Below are 19,635 nucleotides of genomic sequence, written 5' to 3'. Positions count from 1 at the left end.
GAATCACCTTTCTAGAAAGTATTCTCTCTCCTGGAGCCCAGGGGACTTTCCCAAACACAGCCATGATCATTTCAACCTCCTCCAGATCTTTAGCAAGACCTACGAGGCCTGCCGGTCTGGCTCCTGCCCGCCTCTCAGCCTCACCTCACACCTGTGACCTCCATACCTAGCCCCTGAGTTAATGCAATAAATAGTGTTGAATGCCTGCTGTGGGCTAGGCATCACTCTAGGCATTGAGGATACTCCAGTGAACCACATACAGGCCCTACCCTTGTGGCAGTTACATTCTGGAAGGGAGAGGTGGGCAAAATTTATAGTAAGTCAGACAGCGAGAAGTGCTAAGGAGAAAAATAAAGCTGGGAGGGGAAGTGGTTCCCATTTTATAAGGATGAGCAAAGAAAGCATCACTGATGATGTGCTATTTGAGCAAAGGCCTGAAAGAAGAGAAAGGGCAAGCCACACATCTGGGGAAGCACATGCCAGGTGAAGAGCCCTGCAGAAGTCCATGATCAGGAACAAGGAGGCCAGTGTGGCTGAAACAGAGTGGGAGATAAAGGTAGGATCAAAGAAACACTAGAGCGTTTGCACGCTGGCTTTTATTCTGAAAGAGATGGAGACTTTTGAGCTGCCATTCAAGGGCTTTGAAATGAGTAATGACCTAATCTGACACGTTTGAAGTGGATCCTCTGACTGCATTGTTGAGGGCAGAATGAAGGTGGGCAAGGGCAAGGTCAGGTTCAGACTAGTCCCAGTGGTGTAGATGGCGAGAAGTCGCCAGATTCAAGATGCACTCGGAGAATTGTCAGGGTTTCCTGACAGATTAGATGTGCATATGAAAGAAACTAAGGAGGCAGAGATGACTCTAAGCTTTTTGGCCCAAACAGTTGGAAGGATGGATTCGTTACTTACAGAGATGGGGAGACTACAGGAAAAGTGGATTTTGGGGAGAAAGACCGGGAGTTCTGTCTTCAATATGATAGATTTGAGATGACTATTGAACATGCCAGGGGAGATATTAAATAGACATTTGGATGTTCAAACCTAGAATTCAGGGGAACGATCTGGCTGGAAAGGCCAATTTAGGAGTCGTCAGCTAGAGGGGGTACTTATTTGTTTGTTTATTTTGAAATGGAGTCTCGCTCTGTTGCCCAGGCTGAGGTGCAGTGACATGATCTCAGCTCACTGCAACCTCCACCTCCTGTGTTCAAGCAATTCTCCTGCCTTAGCCTCCTGAGTAGCAGGGACTACAGGGGTGCACTACCATGCCGGGCTAATTTTTATATTTTTAGTAGAGGCGTGGTTTCACCATGTTGGCCAGGCTGGTCTCAAACTCCTGACCTCAGGTGATCCACCTGCCTCAGCCTCCCAAAGTGCTGGGATTACAGGTGTGAGCCACCATGCCTGGCCTAGAGGAGGTATTTAAAGCCATAAACCTGGTTGAAATTGGCCTTATTTTGAATTCACAGCCACCAACATGGGCTCTTGAGAAGATAGGAAATCCAAAGAAAGAACCCCGGAACACTCCAATGTTTGGGGGTCAGGAAAATGAAGAGGAGCCAGCAAAGGACACCACGAAGGGGGCAGCCAGTGAGGTAGGAGGCAAGCCAGGAGAGGGGAGGGCAGTGTCCCAACGAATGAACAATTGACTGGGTTTAAACATTCTGAGATGAAGTCAGACAGAAACGGAAAGCTGAGTATTTGGCAAGTAATTGGTGACCTTGAGAAGGCCCGTTTTGTGGAGATATGAAGGGAAAAGCCTGATTGAAGTGGGGCTTGGAGAGAACAGGAAGATACGAACTGAAGACAGTGGAGCGAGAAATGGGGCAGTAGCCGGTAGGGGATGTGAGATTAGGAGAGGGCTATTTTTCAGATAGGAGAAATAACGTATCTGTAGGATAATGAGAGTGATCTGATAGAGGGTGAAAATTTGATGATGAAGGAGAAAGAAAGGACAACTGCTGGAGTAAGATCTTGGGTAGATAAGAGAAGATGGACTCTAGTTTCTAAGTGAAGGATTTTTGACATTAGTTGACTATGATTTAAAGCAAGGCTAGGTCAGGCACAGTGGCTCACACCTGTAATCCCAGCACTCTGGGAGGCTGAGGAAGGCAGATGGCTTGAGCCCAGGAGTTCAAGACCAGCCTGGGCAACATGGTGAAAGCCTGTCTCTATAAAAAATACAAAAATTAGCCAGGCGTAGTGGCGCACACCTATATTCCCAGCTACTCGGGAGGCTGAGGTGGAAGGATCACTTGAGCCTGGAAGGTGGAGGTTGCAGTGAGCTGAGATCAGGCCACTGCACTCCAGCCTGGGTGACAGACTGAGACCCTGTCTCAAAAAAAGCCAGTTAGCATGGTTGATATATTTTTTTTAGATGGAGTCTTGCTTATTCACCCAGGCTGGAGTGAAATGGTGCAATCTTGGCTCACTGCAACCTCTGCCTCCCGGGTTCATGCAATTCTCCTGCCTCAGCCTCCCTAGTAGCTGGGATTACAGGCACGTGCCACTACGCCTGGCTAATTTTTGCATTTTTAGTAGAGATGAGCTTTCACTATGTTGGCCAGGCTGCTCTTGAACTCCTGATCTCAAGTAATCCACCCACCTTGGCCTCCCAAAGTGTTAGGATTACAGGCGTGAGCCACTGCTCCTGGCCAATATTTTCTATTTTTGAAAAAATTTTTTGAGACAGAGTCTTGCTCTGTCACCCATGTTGGAGTGCAGTGGCGATCTCGGCTTACCACAACCTCTGCCTCTCTGGTTCAAGCAATTCTTATGCCTCAGCCTCCCTAGTTGCTGGGATTACAGGCATAAGCCACCACGCCTGGCCATGGTTGATATTTTCTAGACACATTTAGCTATTGTGATGCAGGTGTTACATAGGTAGAGAGGCCAGGTGCAGTGGCTCACACCTGTAATCCTAGCACTTTGGGAGGCCGAGGCAGGCAGATCACCTGAGACCCTGGCCAACATGACAGAACCACGTCTCTACTAAAAATACAAAAATTAGCCTGGCATGATGGTGTGTGCCTGTAATCCCAGCTACTTGGGAGGCTGAGGCACGAGAATTGCTTGAACCCAGGAGGTGGAGGTTGGAGTGAACTGAGATCATGCCACTGTACTCCAGCCTGGGATACAGAGTGAGACTCTGTCTCTGAATAAATAAATAGGTAGAGAGCTAGATTCAATCAAAGCTGGTGTTTTTCCAGAAGAGCAGAGTGAAGGAAGAGGGGTCAAGGGAATTGAGGATGTGTGGAGATGAGTGATTATAATGATGATTAGATCATCTAAACTGGATGAGAAGGAAAGTGGGGAGGTGAAGGAAAAGGGGAAGGTGGGTAAGTCTTGAGGGACTGAAGAATTATTGGAGCTGGTGTCCCAGAGGGAGTAAACTGGGAAGATGGGAGGCCATGGTCAGAGTGGGAGGCATGAAATTGAGATTATGGAGTTCTTGGTAATAACATACCTAAGGCATGGCTGCGAGAGTGAGTGGCTGAGGTGAGATGAAGGACAAGCCCACTTGAAGCAAGGTGATCAAGAACCAGAGGGGCTGGGGTGCTAGATGTGCCACTGTGCCCCAGCCTGGGCAACAGAGCAAGACCCTGTCTCAAAAAACAAAGTATCCCTGAGGTCCTCTCCCATTCCCACTCCCCGTGTCCCCTGCCGTTCCTATCCTGGGTTTCTGCTGAAAAAGATAAAAAGGAAAAATACATAATAGTGTAGGGAGTGTGGGTGGGGTGTTCCACCTGTGGTCAGGGAACTGTGGGGGATGATGAGGTAAGCCAAGGAGACCAGAGGAGTAAACAGGCATTGCATGTAGCACTATCCACACAGCAGCTTGAAAGGCAGGTCACTCTGCCTTTACTTTGCTTTCTTTTTCTTCTGAATGTTTAAAATGATGGGAGATTCATGATTTATTGTCTGGCTTCCCCACATACCTGGTTAAGTCTCATTCATTTTGTCACTCCATACCCAGGGCCTAGAAGAATGCCTGATCTAGAAGATGCCCAGTGGATTCTTATTGAAGGAATGTCCAGTGGGTGTTAAGGGTGAGGCTCAGGGAATTAAGCACCTTGTTCTGGGTCACGGGTAAGTGAGGAAGTGGGATTAGACACATACCCATACACACACAAAATTTGGTGCAAAAGGACTCTAGTGCCATGTTTTAAAAAACACTTGTGTAATTTTAAAATGCATTTATCAGCTGGGCACAGTAGCTCACACTTGTAATCCCAGCATTCTGGGAGGCCAAAGCAGGAGGATCACTTGAGGCCAGGAGTTGGAGACCAGCCTGGGCAACATAGCAAGACTGTCTCTACAAAAAATTTAAAATTAGCTGAGCACAGTGGTATGTGCCTGTAGTCCTAGCTACTCGGGAGGCTCAGGCAGGAGGATTGCTTGAGCCCAGGAGATAGAGGCTGTAGTAACCTGTGGTCGTGCCACTGCACTCCAGCCTGGGCAACAGACTGAGACTCTGTCTCCAAAGAATAAAGATAAAAATCAGTTTCCCTATAAAATATTAGAGGAAAGAAGGAGATTAAGGAATTTTGATAATCCATTGGAAACATTACAAGCTTTATTATTGTAGTCTATTTTATGAAAAACTGAATATTTAAATATGTAATTTTAAAAATTTTGCCCATCTTCATTCTGCAGTATAAATATGTGATTTAAATGTGGAACTTGGGCACGAGGAGAGTGGGGAGCAGAGTATGGAAGCCAGGCAAGTGTGGGGAAAGGCAGCTTAGCCTCCCTGACTTTGCCTGGAGCTTTACAGCAGCACAGGCTGCTCTGGTTTTCCTTTTTTTGTTGTTGTTTCAAAGACATTTGAAAGTGTTGACTGTTACACAGTGTTTTAAAAAGACATTTGGGGCCAGGTGCAGTGGCTCTGTCTGTAATCCCAGCACTTTGGGAGGCCGAAGCAGGAGGATCACTTGAGACCAGGAGTTTGAGACCAGCCTGGGCAACGTGATAAAACCCCATCTCTAGGAAAAAATACAAAAATTATCTGGGCATGGTGGTGCATGCCTATAGTCCCAGCTACTGGGGAGGTTGAAGTGGGAGGGTCACATGAGCCCAGGAGGCAGAGGTTACAGTGAGCCGAGATCACGCCACTGCACTCCAGACTGGGCAACAGGGCAAGACTCTGTCTCTAAAAAAAAAAAAAAGACATTTGGAAATGTCAGCCTTCCTCTCGCAGAGCTCACCTAGCTCAGCTACCTATGAGGTCAGAAGTTTTATAGCTTATAGCACAGCAAAAGTATGTGGTGCAGTGCCAGTGAGCACAGACACAGCACAAAAGCACCTCTAGAGACGAAACCCTCAAAATGCAGCCACTCACAGGTGAACAGCCATTCACCCTCACTGCCCACAGGTGCCAGAGGGGCAGGGAGCCCAGAGGTGGCAGCCTATTGTGACACCCATTGCCAACAGGATGTTGATGAAAGGTCTGGGGAGAAAAGCGAGTCCTATGCAGAGAAGTGTGTATCCTTCCAGATTTTTTCTATGGAACTGAGAGTTGAACCCAGGGTTACCTGATCCCCAAACCCTCCCTCTCTCCATGGGTTTTGCAAATGAGCCTCAAGTCTTTTTAGAACACCAACTGACAATTTCTCCTTGATAAATGTCACTCATTTCTCAGCAAGAAGTTAAGATAGCTTCCAGGGTCCCCCCAACCCCATCACCCACATTGTCTCCTCTATTTGCTTGCCACCCAGAGGCTGAATTCCAGTAGCCATTCTGCATTGCAGCCCTTCATCTAGATGCTGTCCATTAAAAGGGTTGCCCCCGCCCCCACCCACCATGGGGCTGACTGCTCACCAGCACCATTAACAGTGTTTGGCACATGGTGGACTCTCAAGAGGTGGGGGTGTGTGAGGCTACTGACCATTATTTAGCACCCTTGGGTGGCGGGTGCACTGCTGGATTCTCTGCAAATACAATCTCTTTTAATCCTCACAATAACCCCAAAGGCAGCATTATTTCCCTCCTTACAGATGAGGAAATTAAAGCCCTGGGAGCACAGTAGACTTGTCCTCACTCACAAAGCTAGTTAGGAGTGGAGCTAGAATTTGAACGGAATCAAACTGCCTTCATAGCAATTCCTGTGATAGAACCCTCAAAGGGTGTGTGTGTGTGTGTGTGTGCACGTGGGGTGGGTGTTTCAGTTGCCTGTACCCAGTGCTAGTTCAGATCAAAGCAGGCCTCCTTTGATCTGTGAGTGTGAGTGGAACTGGGAGGCAGCTCCTCGCAGGGAGGTGTTTGGAGAAGCTGCGGGTGGAATGAATGGGAGGAAACAGGTTGGGGCAGTAGGTGGGGCATGCTGCAGGCTAGGTGACACAAGCAGGTTGGGTGACAAGCTCAGCTGGGCCCCTTGGGTTTAAGACAGAAGGGTGATAAGGGAGGTGTTGCTGCGTGCAGAGGTCACAGCTGGGCCCATCAGAGCTCAGCCCAATCTGAGTGGCTGTTGTTGTTTTTGGTTTTTTTGTTTGTTTGTTTTGTTTTTTGTTTTGTTTTTAAAGCAGGACCAGCCAAACTTGTCCCAGCAGCTTCCTGGCTTTCTAAGGCTTTCCCTTCTTTGTTCCCAGGTCATTAAGCTAAGAAAATACAGCATGTCCATCTGGCCAGCTTCCCAGATAGAGCCTCATGAAGTTCCAGCACACAGAGAAGTGAAAGGGGAGAATGGAATAATCTGTTCATTCTTTCGTTCAATATTTACTCAAAACCCACTATGTGCTAGGTATCGTTATAGGTGCTTGGAATACAGCAGTGAACCAAAAAGACAAAGATCCCTGACCATGGGTTGCTTCTGGTGGGAGATGGGGAGGTTATAATAACCCTAAAAAGTAAATAAATTAGGTCTTAAGGCTGTGGAATAAAGGCAAAATAGAGCAGGGAAAGGGGGATCAGGAGCACATGTATGGATGAGGTTGGGGTTGCAATCTTAAGAGAGTGGTCAGGGAAGTGAAGGAGCTGCCCATGTGGCAGGCAGAGAGAACACCATGTCTCCAGAGCTGAGGCAGAGGGAACAGGACTGTGTGTTTGAGCAACAGCTGGAGACCAGGAAGCTGGAGTGGAGGGGGTGATGTGGAAAGTTGGAGACTGAGGGATTGTCGAAGGGTGGGGGCTACATCACTTAGGGTGTAACAGTGGCCTGTCTTCTCTTTGTAAAGGATCCCTCCCACTGCTGAGCAAGAAGGTGGGAAATGGGAGAGCAGCTCTCGGAGCCCAGCATGATACCCAGACAGGAGGCTATGGGGGCTCAGGCAGGGGCTGGAGGCAGGCTTGGGAGGGGTGGGGGATGATATGGTTTGGCTCTGTGTTGCCACCCAAATCTCATCTTGTAGCTCCCATAATTCCCATGTGTTGTGGGAGGGACCTGGTGGGAGATAATTGAATCATGGGGGCATGTCTTTCCCATGCTGTTCTCATGATGTGAATAAGTCTCATGAGATCTTATGGTTTTAAAAAGGGAGTTTCCCTGCACAAGCTCTCTCTCTCTTTGCCTGCTGCCATCCATGTAAGATGTGACTTGCTCCTCCTTGCCTTCTGCTATGATTGTGAGTCCTCCCCAGTTTAATGAAACTGTAAGTCCATCAAACTTCTCTTTCTTTTGTAAATTGCCCAGTCTCAGGTATGTCTTTATCAGCAGTAAGAAAATAGACTAATCCCGGCTGGGCATGGTGGCTCATGCCTGTAATCCCAGCACTTTGGGAGGCCAAGGCGGGCAGATCACCTGAGGTCGAGAGTTCGAGACCAGTCTGACCAACATGGAGAAACCCTGTCTCTACTACAAATACAAAATTAGCCAGGCATGGTGGTGCATCCCTGTAATCCCAGCTACTCGGGAGGCTGAGGCAGGAGAATCACTTGAACCCAGGAGGCAGAGATTGTGGTGAGCCAAGATTGCACCATTGCACTCCAGCCTGGGCAACAAGAGCGAAACTCTGTCTCAAAAAAAAAAAAAAAAGAAAAAGAAAAAGAAAAAGAAAAAAGAAACCAGACTAACACAGGGAGCTCAGGAGCACTGCATTCCGTCTGGTCCACTGGAGATGTCTGCCAGACTCCAGCTGGGTGAGCCTAGCAGGCAGTTAGGTATAGGAGTCAGGATTATGGGAGAAAGGTCTGCACTAGAAATGTAAGTTTGGGGTGTCATTCTGCAGATGGTGAATGAGATCATGAGTGTGGGAGTGCAGATGGGGAAAAGGATGAGGGCTGAGCCTTGAGCACTGCACTCTTCAGAAGCCCAAGAGAAGAGAAGGCACAATCAGGGAGGTAGGAGGGAAGCCAGGAAACGCTTATCCCAGAAGAGATAGCCTCAAGCAGGAGAGAGGGACCAACTGTATCAAATGGTGCTTAATCTAGCCTTGCTGCTTTTGCTGGGCCCCAAGCTGCCTTTCCTCCTCTTTAAAATAGGAGTTACAGGGTCCGGGTGCGGTGGCTCACACCTGTAATTCCAGCAGTTTAGGAGGCCAAGGTGGGTGGATCATGTGAGGTCAGTAGTTCAAGAGTAGCCTGGCCAACATGGTGAAATCCTGTCTCTACTAAAAATACAAAAGCTAGCTGGGCTTGCTGACGCATGCTTGTAGTCCCAGCTACTTGGGAGGCTTGAGGCAGGAGAATCACTTGAACCCGGGAGATGGAGGTTGCAGTGAGCCAAGACTGCACCACTGCACTCCAGCCTGGGTGACAGAGCAAGACTCTGTCGCAGAAAAAAAAAAAAGGAGTTACAGTGTCCATCCAAGAGGTGTGATGGAGATTAAATGAAATCATGTACAAGGAGCAGTATGACACGTTCAAGTCACACTCAATGTCCTTCTTTCTGTGGGAAATTTCATGCACATGAATGATGGTAAAAAGAAGATGATAACTATGATTATGACGCTTATTTATACCTCAGGAAAAACTGTATAAGACATGCCCTTGTCCTTGGGCAGCACAGCCGTCACCAGGGAGGACCTACATGGAATAACGGGCGGCAATCCATGCCTGCCGGGCACAGGCTATAACTGATGGGCCAGGGCAAGGAATGGCTTTTCATGGTCAGGGACTTCACAGGCGTGAGCACGCAAGCTGGGTTCAGAAGGACGTGGAGATTTGGGCAGGCTGAAGGGAAGGGACATTCACGTGAAGGCAAGGGTGTCGCAGAGGTGCAGAGTGGGAGCTGAACTTTGCTTGAAGACTGAATGGGACTTGCTTGTTAGGAGGTGTTGTATTGGTGTATGTGCTTCCAGGACAGGCCCAGTGGGAAACAGGTTGGCAAGGGAGATAGGGATCAGATTACATAGTGATCAAAATCTGGTCTGAACTAACAATCAGTCTACCAGAGCCTGGGGTAGGTGCTGAGCCCCAGGCCCCACCATACCCTGTACCCTCCATTCTCTGGTTGCAATGGCCTGCTTAGCCCTCTGTCTCTCCTGGACTGAGTGCTCTGGGAGTGAGACAGGGATGAAACCCTGTTTGCTGCTGAGCCCAAAATTAGTGCTGTGTTTGAGGGAGGCACATGTGGTGTGCCTAGAGGCTGAATGAGAGGGTCTCTTCAGGACCTCCAGACAGTGAGCCCCTACCGCAGCACCATGCCCAGTCCCTATGGGCACTTGGTAAATGGGAATGGAATGGACACATGTGCCCAGGGGTGACTGTTCTAAGGCCGACGGCAGCGTCTGTAGGGTCCACCATCTGCTCTCGAGAAGCCCCGGGGGGAGTCCCGAATCCAGGTACCTGGAGGCCTCATTGTCTGTCACTGATCTGAAGAGAGATTCCAGACATGGGAAAGCCAGGGGACTCCCTGCAGAGACCTGGAGAGGGTCTTCTCCTCCCTGCCCCACTCCAGGCCCAGACATCATCACTGTCAGGTGGTAGTTTCTTCATCTGCTTGTTCCTGCCTTGCTGACCTCCCAGCTCTGGCCCGCCTTCCTCTCCCCGTCTGCTCCCATTCCCGATGCTCCCGCTCTCTTCCCTGCTCAGCCAAGGAGCTATTTTTGTCATCTCCCCCTCCCCCATCTGCCCCTTCTGTCCCCCAGGATTGAGCGTGGCTCCTTCTCAGAAGCGGATTCCTGAAAGGCCCTGCCCTTCAGGGGACATGGATGGGGCCACCAGCTGCTGGGCAAAGAGAGGACAGCCAGGAAGCAAGTGACGAAGCCTGCAAGAAGGCCAGGGAGGAACAGGAAGGACCAGGTGCAGTGGGCAGGGTCGGAGGGAGACTGGATAAAGATGGGGGAGGACAGAGGAGAGCTGAGAAAGAGACAAAGAGACGGAGCCACAGGGCAGGGCGTAGTGCTGGGCTTGGGGCTGAGAAGTCACTGCAGGTGGAAGTAGGCAGCTCAGGCCTGGGCCCCACACATGTACCCAGATGCCCGGAGCAAAGGGAGCCTTAGACCCCTGCTTCTGAGCTTGTGTCCTTCTTTATTTTTTTCTTTTTCTTTTTTTTTTTTCTGAGACAGTCTTGCTCTGTTGCCCAGGCTGGAGTGCAGTGGCATGATCTCAGCTCACTGCAACCTCTGTCTCCCAGGTTCAAGCGATTCTCCTGCCTCAGCCTCCCGAGTGGCTGGGACTACAGGTACAAGTCACCACACCTGGCTAATTTGTGTATTTTTAGCAGACAGGGTTTCACCATTATTGGCCAGGCTGGTTTCGAATTCCTGACCTCAAGTGATTTGCCTGCCTCGGCCTACCAAAGTGTTGGGATTACAGACCCCATGCCCAGTCTGAGCTCTCTCCCAGGTGCCCCCAGGCTCACGGATCCAGCAGAGCATCCAGAGACGGCAGGGGGCATGTGGAGCCTTTCTGTCCTCCCCAGCCTGCCCTGGGAAGGGGTTGGGTCTTCCTAGCTCTGGGTCTCTGGAGGTACTGGTGTGGGGGTTCCACTTGCAAAAAGCAGGGGCTCTAGGTTGGGGGGAGCAGAAGGGATGCAGGGGTCTAGAGTAAGAGGAAACAGCGCTGAGCTTGAAAAGGGGTGAAAAGAGATTTTAAATCTGCCATGCTCCTCCTAAACTGGTGCTCCTAGGCAGTAAAAAACTCAGTGCAGTGTGTGCTTTGTGGGTTAGTCACATTGTGGCTTATCTGTGAGCTGCTGTCAGTAGAGTGAATCAGGGGAGAGAGGGTGTGAGTGTGTGTGGGAGGGTGCGAGTGGGTGTGATCATGTATGTGGAGGTGTGTGTGCCTATGGCTCCCCAGGGTAACATGGGCCTAAGGTAGGATTCAGACATGTCTGGCTGGCAGGGCCAACCTACAGAAGTTTTGCTCCAGGTCGGGCGCAGTGGCCTGTAATCTCAGCACTTTGGGAGGCGAAGGTGGGTGGATCACCTGAGGTCACTAGCCTGGCCACTAGCCTGGCCAACATGGTGAAACTACGTCTCTACTAAAAATACAAAAATAAGCTGGGCATGGTGGCACACTCCTGTAATCCCAGCTACTTGGGAGGCTGAGGCAGGAGAATTGATTGAATCCAGGAGGTGGAGGTTGCAGTGAGCCAAGATTGTGCCACTGCACTCCAGCTTGGGCAAAAACGGCGAAACTCTGTCTCAAAAAAAAAAAAAAGAAGTTTTGCTCCAAGTTCCCAGAGCCTCCAGCCTCCAGCCTCCAGGGAGCAGACTTACCCCAGGAAGGAGATGGGTAACCAAGCCTGCCATCAGCAGGGCAAAGCGACCTGCAGCCCATCGGAGGAGGGGTCTTTCCAGCCCCATGCTGGTCTGAGCCCTAGGAAGAGGACTTGACACAAAATGGGATCACCATTCCCACGAATGGGGCTCTGGCCTCTCCTACCACGCATAACGCCAAGGGGAGACTCGTCTACCCTCACAGTCTAGAGCCCCTGACACCCGAGGGCCAAGCAACCTGTGGCAGTGGCTGGTGATGCACCGTGGGGCCCACTGGGAGGGCAGAGACCCAGGCAAAGGTGTCTAGGGGTGAGGGCAAGGGAGCAGGGAGGTGGCAGGGGTCTGAGGCCCTGTGAAAGGGGGCACAAGAGACAGTGGCATTTGATTGTGACCCAATCTGCACCTATAGCGTGGAGAGAAAATTCAGGTACACAAAGCCAGAATAACTAAAGACTATCTATTGTTTTCCTTTTTTCATTATTTTAATTTTTAAAAAATTTTTTATAGAGATGGGGTTTTGCTGTGTTACCCAGGCTTGTCTTGATCTCCTGTCCTCAAGCGATCCTCCCATGTCGGCCTCCCACAGTGCTGGGATTACAGGCATGAGGCACTGAGCCTATCCCTGTCCATTGTTTTCATCAGAGAAACATTTATTGAGCACATATGTGTTTGTACCAGACACTAAGACTACTAAACCAAACACAGCCCCAGCCCCTACGGAATTCACTGTCCAGTGAGTAAGAGGAACATAAAAGTGGGTGACTGGCCAGGCGCAGTGGCTGACATCTATAATCCCAGCACTTTGGGAGGCAGAGGCGGGTGGATCACCTGAGGTCAGGAGTTCAAGACCAGGCTGGCCAACATGGTGAAACCCCATCTCTACTAAAAATACAAAAATTAGCTGGGTGTGGTGGTGGGCACCTGTAATCCCAGCTACTTTCCCGAGGCTGAGGCAGGAGAATCGCTTGAACCTGGGAGGCAGAGGCTGCAGTGAGCCAAGATCATGCCATTGCACTCTGGCCTGGGCAACAAGAGCAGAACTCCGTCTCAAAAAAAAAAAAAGTTGGTGACTATGTGTCATTTGTAAGTAATGATAATGGTAATAGCCAGCATATTTAGTGCTCACATGTGCTGGGCACTGTTCTAGGCACTTTACATATATGTGCCTGTATGCACAGGATCGAGGCATACACAAGACATGGAGTAGGGCCCCAGCGCACCTCAGTCATTGGGAAGTTCCTCCAGAGGAGAGCAGCATATTTTCCACAGGGTTCTAGAATAGGTCAAGAGGCCAGTGGAAGTTCCTGCAGCCTTCACTCCCACCTCCGTCAGCTGAGAACTGGCCAGATCAGACTTGTCTGCACCAGAGCAATCATGACCCAATCTTTCCAGCCCATCTCTGGGGCTGATGCCCTCTGGCCCTCCTGGGGAAAGCAAACATTATGAGAGGGCCTCATGCAGTGGCTCACACCTGTAATCCCAACACTTTGGGAGGCCAAGGCAGGAGAATTGCTTGAGGCCAGGAGTTTGAGACCAGCCTGAGCAACAAAGTGAGGCTCTGTTTCTACAAAAAAATTAAAAAATTAGCCAGGTGTGGTGGTGTGTGCCTGTAGTCCCAGCTACTCAGGAGGCTGAGGTGGGAGGATTTCTTGAGTCCAAGATGTTGACGCCACAGTGAGCTGTGATTGTACCACTGCACTCCAGCCTGGGTGACAGAGGGAGACCCTGTCTCACACACACAAAAGGAAGAAAGAAAGAAAGAAGAAAGAAAGAAAGAAAGAAAGAAAGGAAGGAAGGAAGGAAGGAAGGAAGGAAGGAAGGAAGGAAGGAAGGAAGGAAGGGGAGTAGAGAAAGCCATGGGGATAAGTGGGGAACAGAGGGCAGGAGGTGGTCCTGGGCTGGGCTGGGGGCTGTGGAGTTGAGTGTCCCAGGCTGGGCAACTGGAGTCTCCCTACACAGAGGGAGAAGCCAGCCAGCCATTTACTGCCCAGCTCAGAGCACTCCCTCTGGGGAACGCAGGCTGGTAACTTAGAGGTGGTAAGAGAAGGCAGAGAAATTGGAATAAGCAGGCTGCCCTAGCTTTTGTGGGCCCAGTAGAGACCAAATGATATTCTCAGATCACAGCCCATGCCCGCTTCTCTTCCCACTCTTGGCACCATTCTGAACCACGAGAGGTCACCAGTGCCTTCAATATCTGTGTGGACACCCAGCCCGCACAACCACACACCACCAAACAGCAGTCCCTGGCCACTTCTTGGGCCCAGGGAGAGGTTGTGATATTTGGGACATACTTATACTAAAAAAGTATTCCTTATGTATGTAAAACTCCAATGTAACTGGGAATCCTGTGTTTTATCTGCAGCCCCAGCCAGTGGTGCCTCCACCAGTGGCATAATCAGTCCTCGGGAGGCCCTCAAACCCTGCAAGTGGGCTCAGGGCCTGCTAGGCAGGGCCTTCCAAGATCCCAGGACTAGGGGGCGGTGAGGGAGGCAGGTTCTGGGTGGGTGTATCTTGGCCCTGCAGACTCCTCTCTTTGTGAGGAGGGGGTTGGCCAGAAAAGGGTCAGACTGTGTCCCCAAAAAGCTCAGGACCTACAGCAGGGGGCCCTTTGCCTACTTTCTGGGGTGGGCCTCAGTCCATCTTCAAGTGAGACCTAATCTCAAGCAAGGGGCATCGTTGGAAAATTGATTGGCACCCTTGATGTCTTCACCTTTTTTTTTCTTTTTCTTTTTCTTTTTCTGAGACAGGGTCTCGTTCTGTTGCCCAGGCCGGAGCGCAATGGTGCGATCACGGCTCACTGCAGCCTCGACCTCCCAGGCTCAGGCGGTCCTCCAACCTCAGCCTCCCAAGTAGCTGGGATTGTAGCCGAGCACCACCATGCTCAGCTAATTTTTGTATTTTTTGTAGAGGTGGGGTCTTGTTGTGTTGCCTAGGCTAGTCTCAAACTCCTGGCCTCAAGCCACTCTCCTGCCTTGGTCTCCCAAAGTGCTGGGGATATACCTGTGAGCCACTGTGCTTGGCATCCCTAACTTTTCTAACATCCCCACAGGCAGTGGCCTCTGATTCTGGGAGACAGTACTGCAGAGTGGCTGAGAGCTAGGGTTGCCAGATAAAAATACAAGATGCCCAGTTAGATTTGAATTTCAGATAAACAATGAATACTTTTTTTTTTTTTTTTTGAGACGGAGTTTTGCTCTTGTTGCCCAGGCTGGAGTGCAATGGTGCAATCTTGGCTCGCTGCAACCTCCACCTCCCGGTTCAAGCGATTCTTCTGCCTCAGCCTCCCATGTAGCTGGGATTACAGGTGCCTGCCACCATGCCCAGCTAATTTTTGTATTTTTAGTAGATACGGGGTTTCGCCATGTTGGCCAGGCTAGCCTCGAACTCCTGACCTCAAGTGATCCACCCGCCTCAGCGTCCCAAAGTGCTGGAATTACAGGCATGAGCCACAACACCCAGCCTTTTTTTTTTTTTTTTTTGAGACGGAGTCTGGCTGTGTCGCCCAGGCTGGAGTGCAGTGGTGCCATCTTGGCTCATTGTTGCAAGCTCCGCCTCCCAGGTTCACGCCATTCTCCTGCCTCAGCCTCCAGAGTAGCTGGGACTACAGGCGCCCGCCACCATGCCCAGCTAATTTTTTTGTATTTTTAGTAGAGACGGGGTTTCACCATGTTAGCCAGGATGGTCTCGATCTCCTGACCTTGTGATCCACCCGCCTCTGCCTCCCAAAGTGCTGGGATTACAGGCGTGAGCCACCACGCCTGGCCTTTTTTTTTTTTTTGAGATAAGAGTCTTACTCTGTCACCCAGGCTGGAGTGCAGTGGCACAATCTTGGCTCACTGCAACTGCCACCTCCCAGGTTCAAGCAATTTTCATGCCTCAGCCTCCTGAGTAGCTAGGATAACAGGCATGTACCACCATGCCCGGCTAATTTTTGTATTTTTAGTAGAAATGCGGTTTTCTCATGTTGGTCAGGCTGGTCCCGATCTCCTGACCAAGAGATCCACCTGCCTCGGCCTCCCAAAGTGCTGGGATTATAGGCATGAGCCACCACGCCCGGCCAATGAATACTTTTTTACTATCAACATGTCATTTAGTATTTGGGATCTACAGTTGACCCTCCATATCTGTGGGTTCTTCATCCATGGAGTCAACCAATTGCAGATAGAAAATATTTTTTAAAAACAATAAAAATAATACAAATAAAAAATACCTTATAACTAACAACTATTTACAAAGCATTTACATTGTGTTAGGTATTGTAGATAACCTAGAGATGAGCTAAAGTATATGGGCAGTTATACGGTTATACGGAAACACTATGTCAGTTTATATGAGGGACTTGAGCATCCTCAGATTTTAGTATCTGTGGGGTCCTGGAACCAATCTCCCAGGGATACCAAGGGATAGCTGTACTTCTAAAAATTATCTCTTGTTTATCTGAAATTCAAATTTAAGCTGGTGTACTGCTTTTGTTTTTGTTTGTTGTTGGTAAATCTGGCAACCCTGCCGAGAGCAGGGGCTTTGGAGTCTCATACCTCAGCCTCAGATCTCAGCTTTTCTATCTTCTCACTGTGTGAAACTCTCTGAGGCTCACGTTCCATATCTGCCTCCCAGGGCAGGAGAAGGATTAAGCGATAAAATGTGCTGGCGTAGGTGACAACTGTTATTACTGTCCCTGGCCAAGATACCACAGCTAGAAGGCAACGGGCCAGTGTCTGCCCTCCATGCTCTGGTCTGAGATCCCTGGGTCATCCCAAGGGCCTTCAGCAACCTGCTGTCCCTCCTCCAGATCCCAGCCCATGCAGTGCTCAAGGGGCCACTGGGAGACCAGCAGAAGACGCCCTGCACCAGAGAGGAAGCACAATCTGGCTTGGGGAACCCAAACATCTAATAACTGCAAGGAGCCCTGTGGGATGAGAAGGGAGTGGCAGAGGCACTAGCATTTATTCTGTGCTCACCATGTGCCGGGCATTTGTTACCTAATTTAATCCTCACAGCAACTTCTCATTTCCATTTTGCAGCTGAAGATGTATTAATAGCAACACAGGATAAGGCCCGGCTGTTCCTGTTTGGACCACTTTCTCCAGCCGAATCCATGGTTCCTCTCACCTCCTCCAGGCCTTTGCTCACCCCAGCCTCTTCCCTGACTGGGTGCCTCCCATCGGAACCCTCCCTGGGGAACCCGTCCCACAGTGATGGAGCGCCTTATACCCGCTTTCTGCTTTCTTTTTTTTACAAAGCACTCCTACTCATCAAACACATTAACTACTGTGCTTATTTGGTTTGCTTCTTTCCCTTCCAGAATGTAAGCTCTACGAGAGCAGGGTTTTCAGTCCTTTCGGTTTACTGACACACCCCCCATGCCCAACACAGAGCCTTGTACATATTTGTTGAATGGATTAAAAACAGAATAACCATAATCATAGCTGACACTGCCTTAGCCCCTGCTTTTTGCCCTAGAACTGTTCCAAGCACCTCATATGTGCTCATTCATGAATTCCTCCCATCTCAATGAGGCACAGAGCGGGCAAGTAATTTGCTCAAGGCCACAGAGCAAGTGTGCAAGAGTGACGAACAGGTTGGCCTGAGTTCCCTGTTGGTGATGTTTTACTCACTCCGAGGCTGTCTGTGACCCTTGGCATCAGCTCTTTTCGTGGGTGACATGGCCGCTTTGGCAGCACCCTCTCACTCCTCTAACACGCTGTATTATGAGGGCCTCTTTGCTTGTTTACTGTTGACTCAATTTCTTTGCAGGCAGGGACTGGTCTCCTTCATTTTGATTTCCCCAGTGCCTTGCATGGTGTCCCGCCCATTGCAGAGACTCCCCTCTGTTTTCCTAGTTGGCATTTACACCCACCCGGTGAGGTGGGAAACACAGGTGTCATCACTCCATTGCCCCCATTTATCAGCAGGGAAACAAGCTCAGAGAAGTGAAGTCTTTCATTCATTTGACAAGTATTTATTGCACTTCTATTACACCGAGTACTGAGCTAAGTGCTGAGAGGCTGGAAGAGGCACACAGTGGCCAAACCCTGGGTCTCCTGGTTCAGTGCTCACCTGGCCAAAGCCCACAGTCCACACTACAGAGCCCCATGGGTTCTGGCTGCTGCCCAAGGCTTTGGTGAGACCACCCCCTGTTAGAACTGGGCAAAGGCCAAATATAAGCATTGAGGGGCACTGGGGGTGGGAGGGGACTTGAGGATCTAGACAGGCTGTTTCAGCCATGGTTCGTGGGGACTGCCCAGTGGGGCTGGAGCAAGTAAGTGGGTGAGGGGGCGATTTCCAGCCTGTGATGCATGTCTGCCAAATGTGCTTCAAAGCAAACAGGATGCAAACCATATTATTTAACCTGATGTGGTTAGCACCGAGCCTTTCCCAGTGGGGGAAGCCTTTGGGGTGTCTTCTTCTTACTGGGGAATGTGTTCCTCAGGGAGGGGAAAGGGTTGTTTGCAATGTACAGAAAACCTGGAGACTCGTGGCTCAACCAAGAAAAGGCAACATGTTCCCAGGAAGAAATATATCACAGCTGGAATCAGAAGGTCTTCCTGTGTGTCCTTCTTGGCCCCTGAGGGTGTTATATGAACAGATTTATGCTGGAACCTGGGTGTGGTGGGGAGAGGTTGTATTCATTCATTTATTCATTCATTCATTTGACAAGTATTTGTTGCACTTCTGTACACCGAGTACTGAGCTAAGTGTTGAGAATATACCAGGGAACACAATATACCTGCTCCTGTCCTCATTAAACTTGCAGCTTAATGTGGGACAAGCATTAAAGGAGTGTTGCTGTTAATTAATTATTTTTAGCTGCCAGTGCTCTGAAAGAGATTCCTGGATTGCATGGAAAGGTAAAATAAGAAACCTGTTTCAGTTTGGGAGTCAAGGAAGCCTTCCTGGAGGAAGTAGTATTTATGCTGAGTCCTAGAGGCAGTCTAAGAGTTCTTCTGGCCACTTGCTGAGCGGAGTGGGTGAGGGGGCTGATCATCAAGCATTGCAGGCCCAGGGAGGGGCGCATGCGAAGACCTTGAGATAGAAAGGAGTGTGGCTTCTGTAGGTTCTGCATGAAGGGCTCCAGAGTGGCTGGCATCTGGATACTAGGCTGATTGGGAGAGGCAGTTCCTGCTCATGTCTGATGGAGAAGATGACCAAGTTTAACCACGGGAGTGGCATTCCATGAGCAGCAGGGACGTCGTGGAAGTCTGGCGTGAAGGGACGGTTGCCATGAATAGACAAGTTTGTTCTGGAAGGCTTGCTGCAGAAGGCGTGTCTGGGGGTTTTGGCAGAAGGTGTAGGAGTTGGAAGAGCTGTGTGCAAGGCTGAGGAAGTGGGAGCGAGACTACTTTGGGTTGGTGTGGGGGTGGCTGAATGACTCGATTTGGATGTGTACGTTCTGTCTCTCCAATTAATTTTAAGAACTACTATTTATTTCACAACCACTGTGTGCCAAGCAAACACTGATCTATTTCATTCAACCCATAAATAGCTGTTTGAGATAGATATGACCATCCTATCTTACAGATGAGACAAAGGAGGCTCAGAGGATTAAGTGACCTGCCCGCAGCAACACGGAGAAGATGTGGTGGAACCAGGGATCAAAAATTTGTCCTCTGTGTATATAGCGCCTCAACTTTCCATCACACTTGCCTTCCTGGTGACCTGATATCCCAGGATTTTCACTTACTGCTCTGGGGACACATTGGTTAAATCCAAGTGGTTTGCAGGCACTGACTGGCAACATAACTGTGGTCAATAGAAGAATGATGTACTGAGTGGTGGTCACTTAGAACCATGCATCTGCCACCCCTCGAGGCTGGGCCATGAAGAAGGCATGGCTCGGCTGGCACGGTGGCTCACACCTGTAATTCCAGCAATTTGGGAGGCCGAGGTAGGCTGATTGCTTGAGCTTAGGAGTTTAAGACCAGCCTGGGCATCATGGCAAAACCCCATCTCTATAAAAAATACAAACATTAGCCAGGTGGTATGCACCTGTGATCCCAGCAACAGCAGGAGGCTGAGGTGGGAGGATCGCTTGAACCGGGTG

The 19,635-nt window shown here is 49.8% G+C and overlaps 2 long non-coding RNA genes across 2 annotated transcripts, besides 2 other annotated features; both read left to right on the top strand.

Annotated features, from left to right (window-relative positions):
* Positions 1-243: 243 nt before the first annotated feature.
* On the top strand, positions 244-19,472 carry LOC107985261 (uncharacterized). The gene is made up of 3 exons (XR_001738449.1): positions 244-556; positions 1,467-1,592; positions 19,113-19,472. It is a non-coding gene; the product is annotated as an uncharacterized LOC107985261 (long non-coding RNA).
* LOC107985260 (uncharacterized) lies at positions 3,979-17,741 on the top strand. The gene is made up of 4 exons (XR_001738448.1): positions 3,979-4,086; positions 6,585-6,736; positions 10,020-10,173; positions 16,616-17,741. It is a non-coding gene; the product is annotated as an uncharacterized LOC107985260 (long non-coding RNA).
* Positions 9,661-10,161: an enhancer, noted in NCBI's record as "H3K4me1 hESC enhancer chr1:211711705-211712205 (GRCh37/hg19 assembly coordinates)". NCBI's record gives its function as "activates a minimal SCP1, AML or CMV promoter by ChIP-STARR-seq in naive H9 embryonic stem cells {active_cell/tissue: H9 hESC(naive)}" and the evidence as "EXISTENCE:reporter gene assay evidence [ECO:0000049][PMID:30033119]".
* Positions 16,151-16,351: a silencer, noted in NCBI's record as "peak683 fragment used in MPRA reporter construct". NCBI's record gives its function as "represses an SCP1 promoter by STARR-seq MPRAs in K562 erythroleukemia cells {active_cell/tissue: K562}" and the evidence as "EXISTENCE:reporter gene assay evidence [ECO:0000049][PMID:32103011]".
* Positions 19,473-19,635: the final 163 nt, after the last annotated feature.

This window comes from Homo sapiens, chromosome 1 (genome assembly GCF_000001405.40).
Source record: "Homo sapiens chromosome 1, GRCh38.p14 Primary Assembly".
In the NCBI taxonomy this organism is placed as follows: Eukaryota; Metazoa; Chordata; class Mammalia; order Primates; family Hominidae; genus Homo; species Homo sapiens.
The sequence above is the reverse complement of the archived record's forward strand: the minus strand, read 5'-3'. Positions and strand labels throughout refer to the sequence as shown.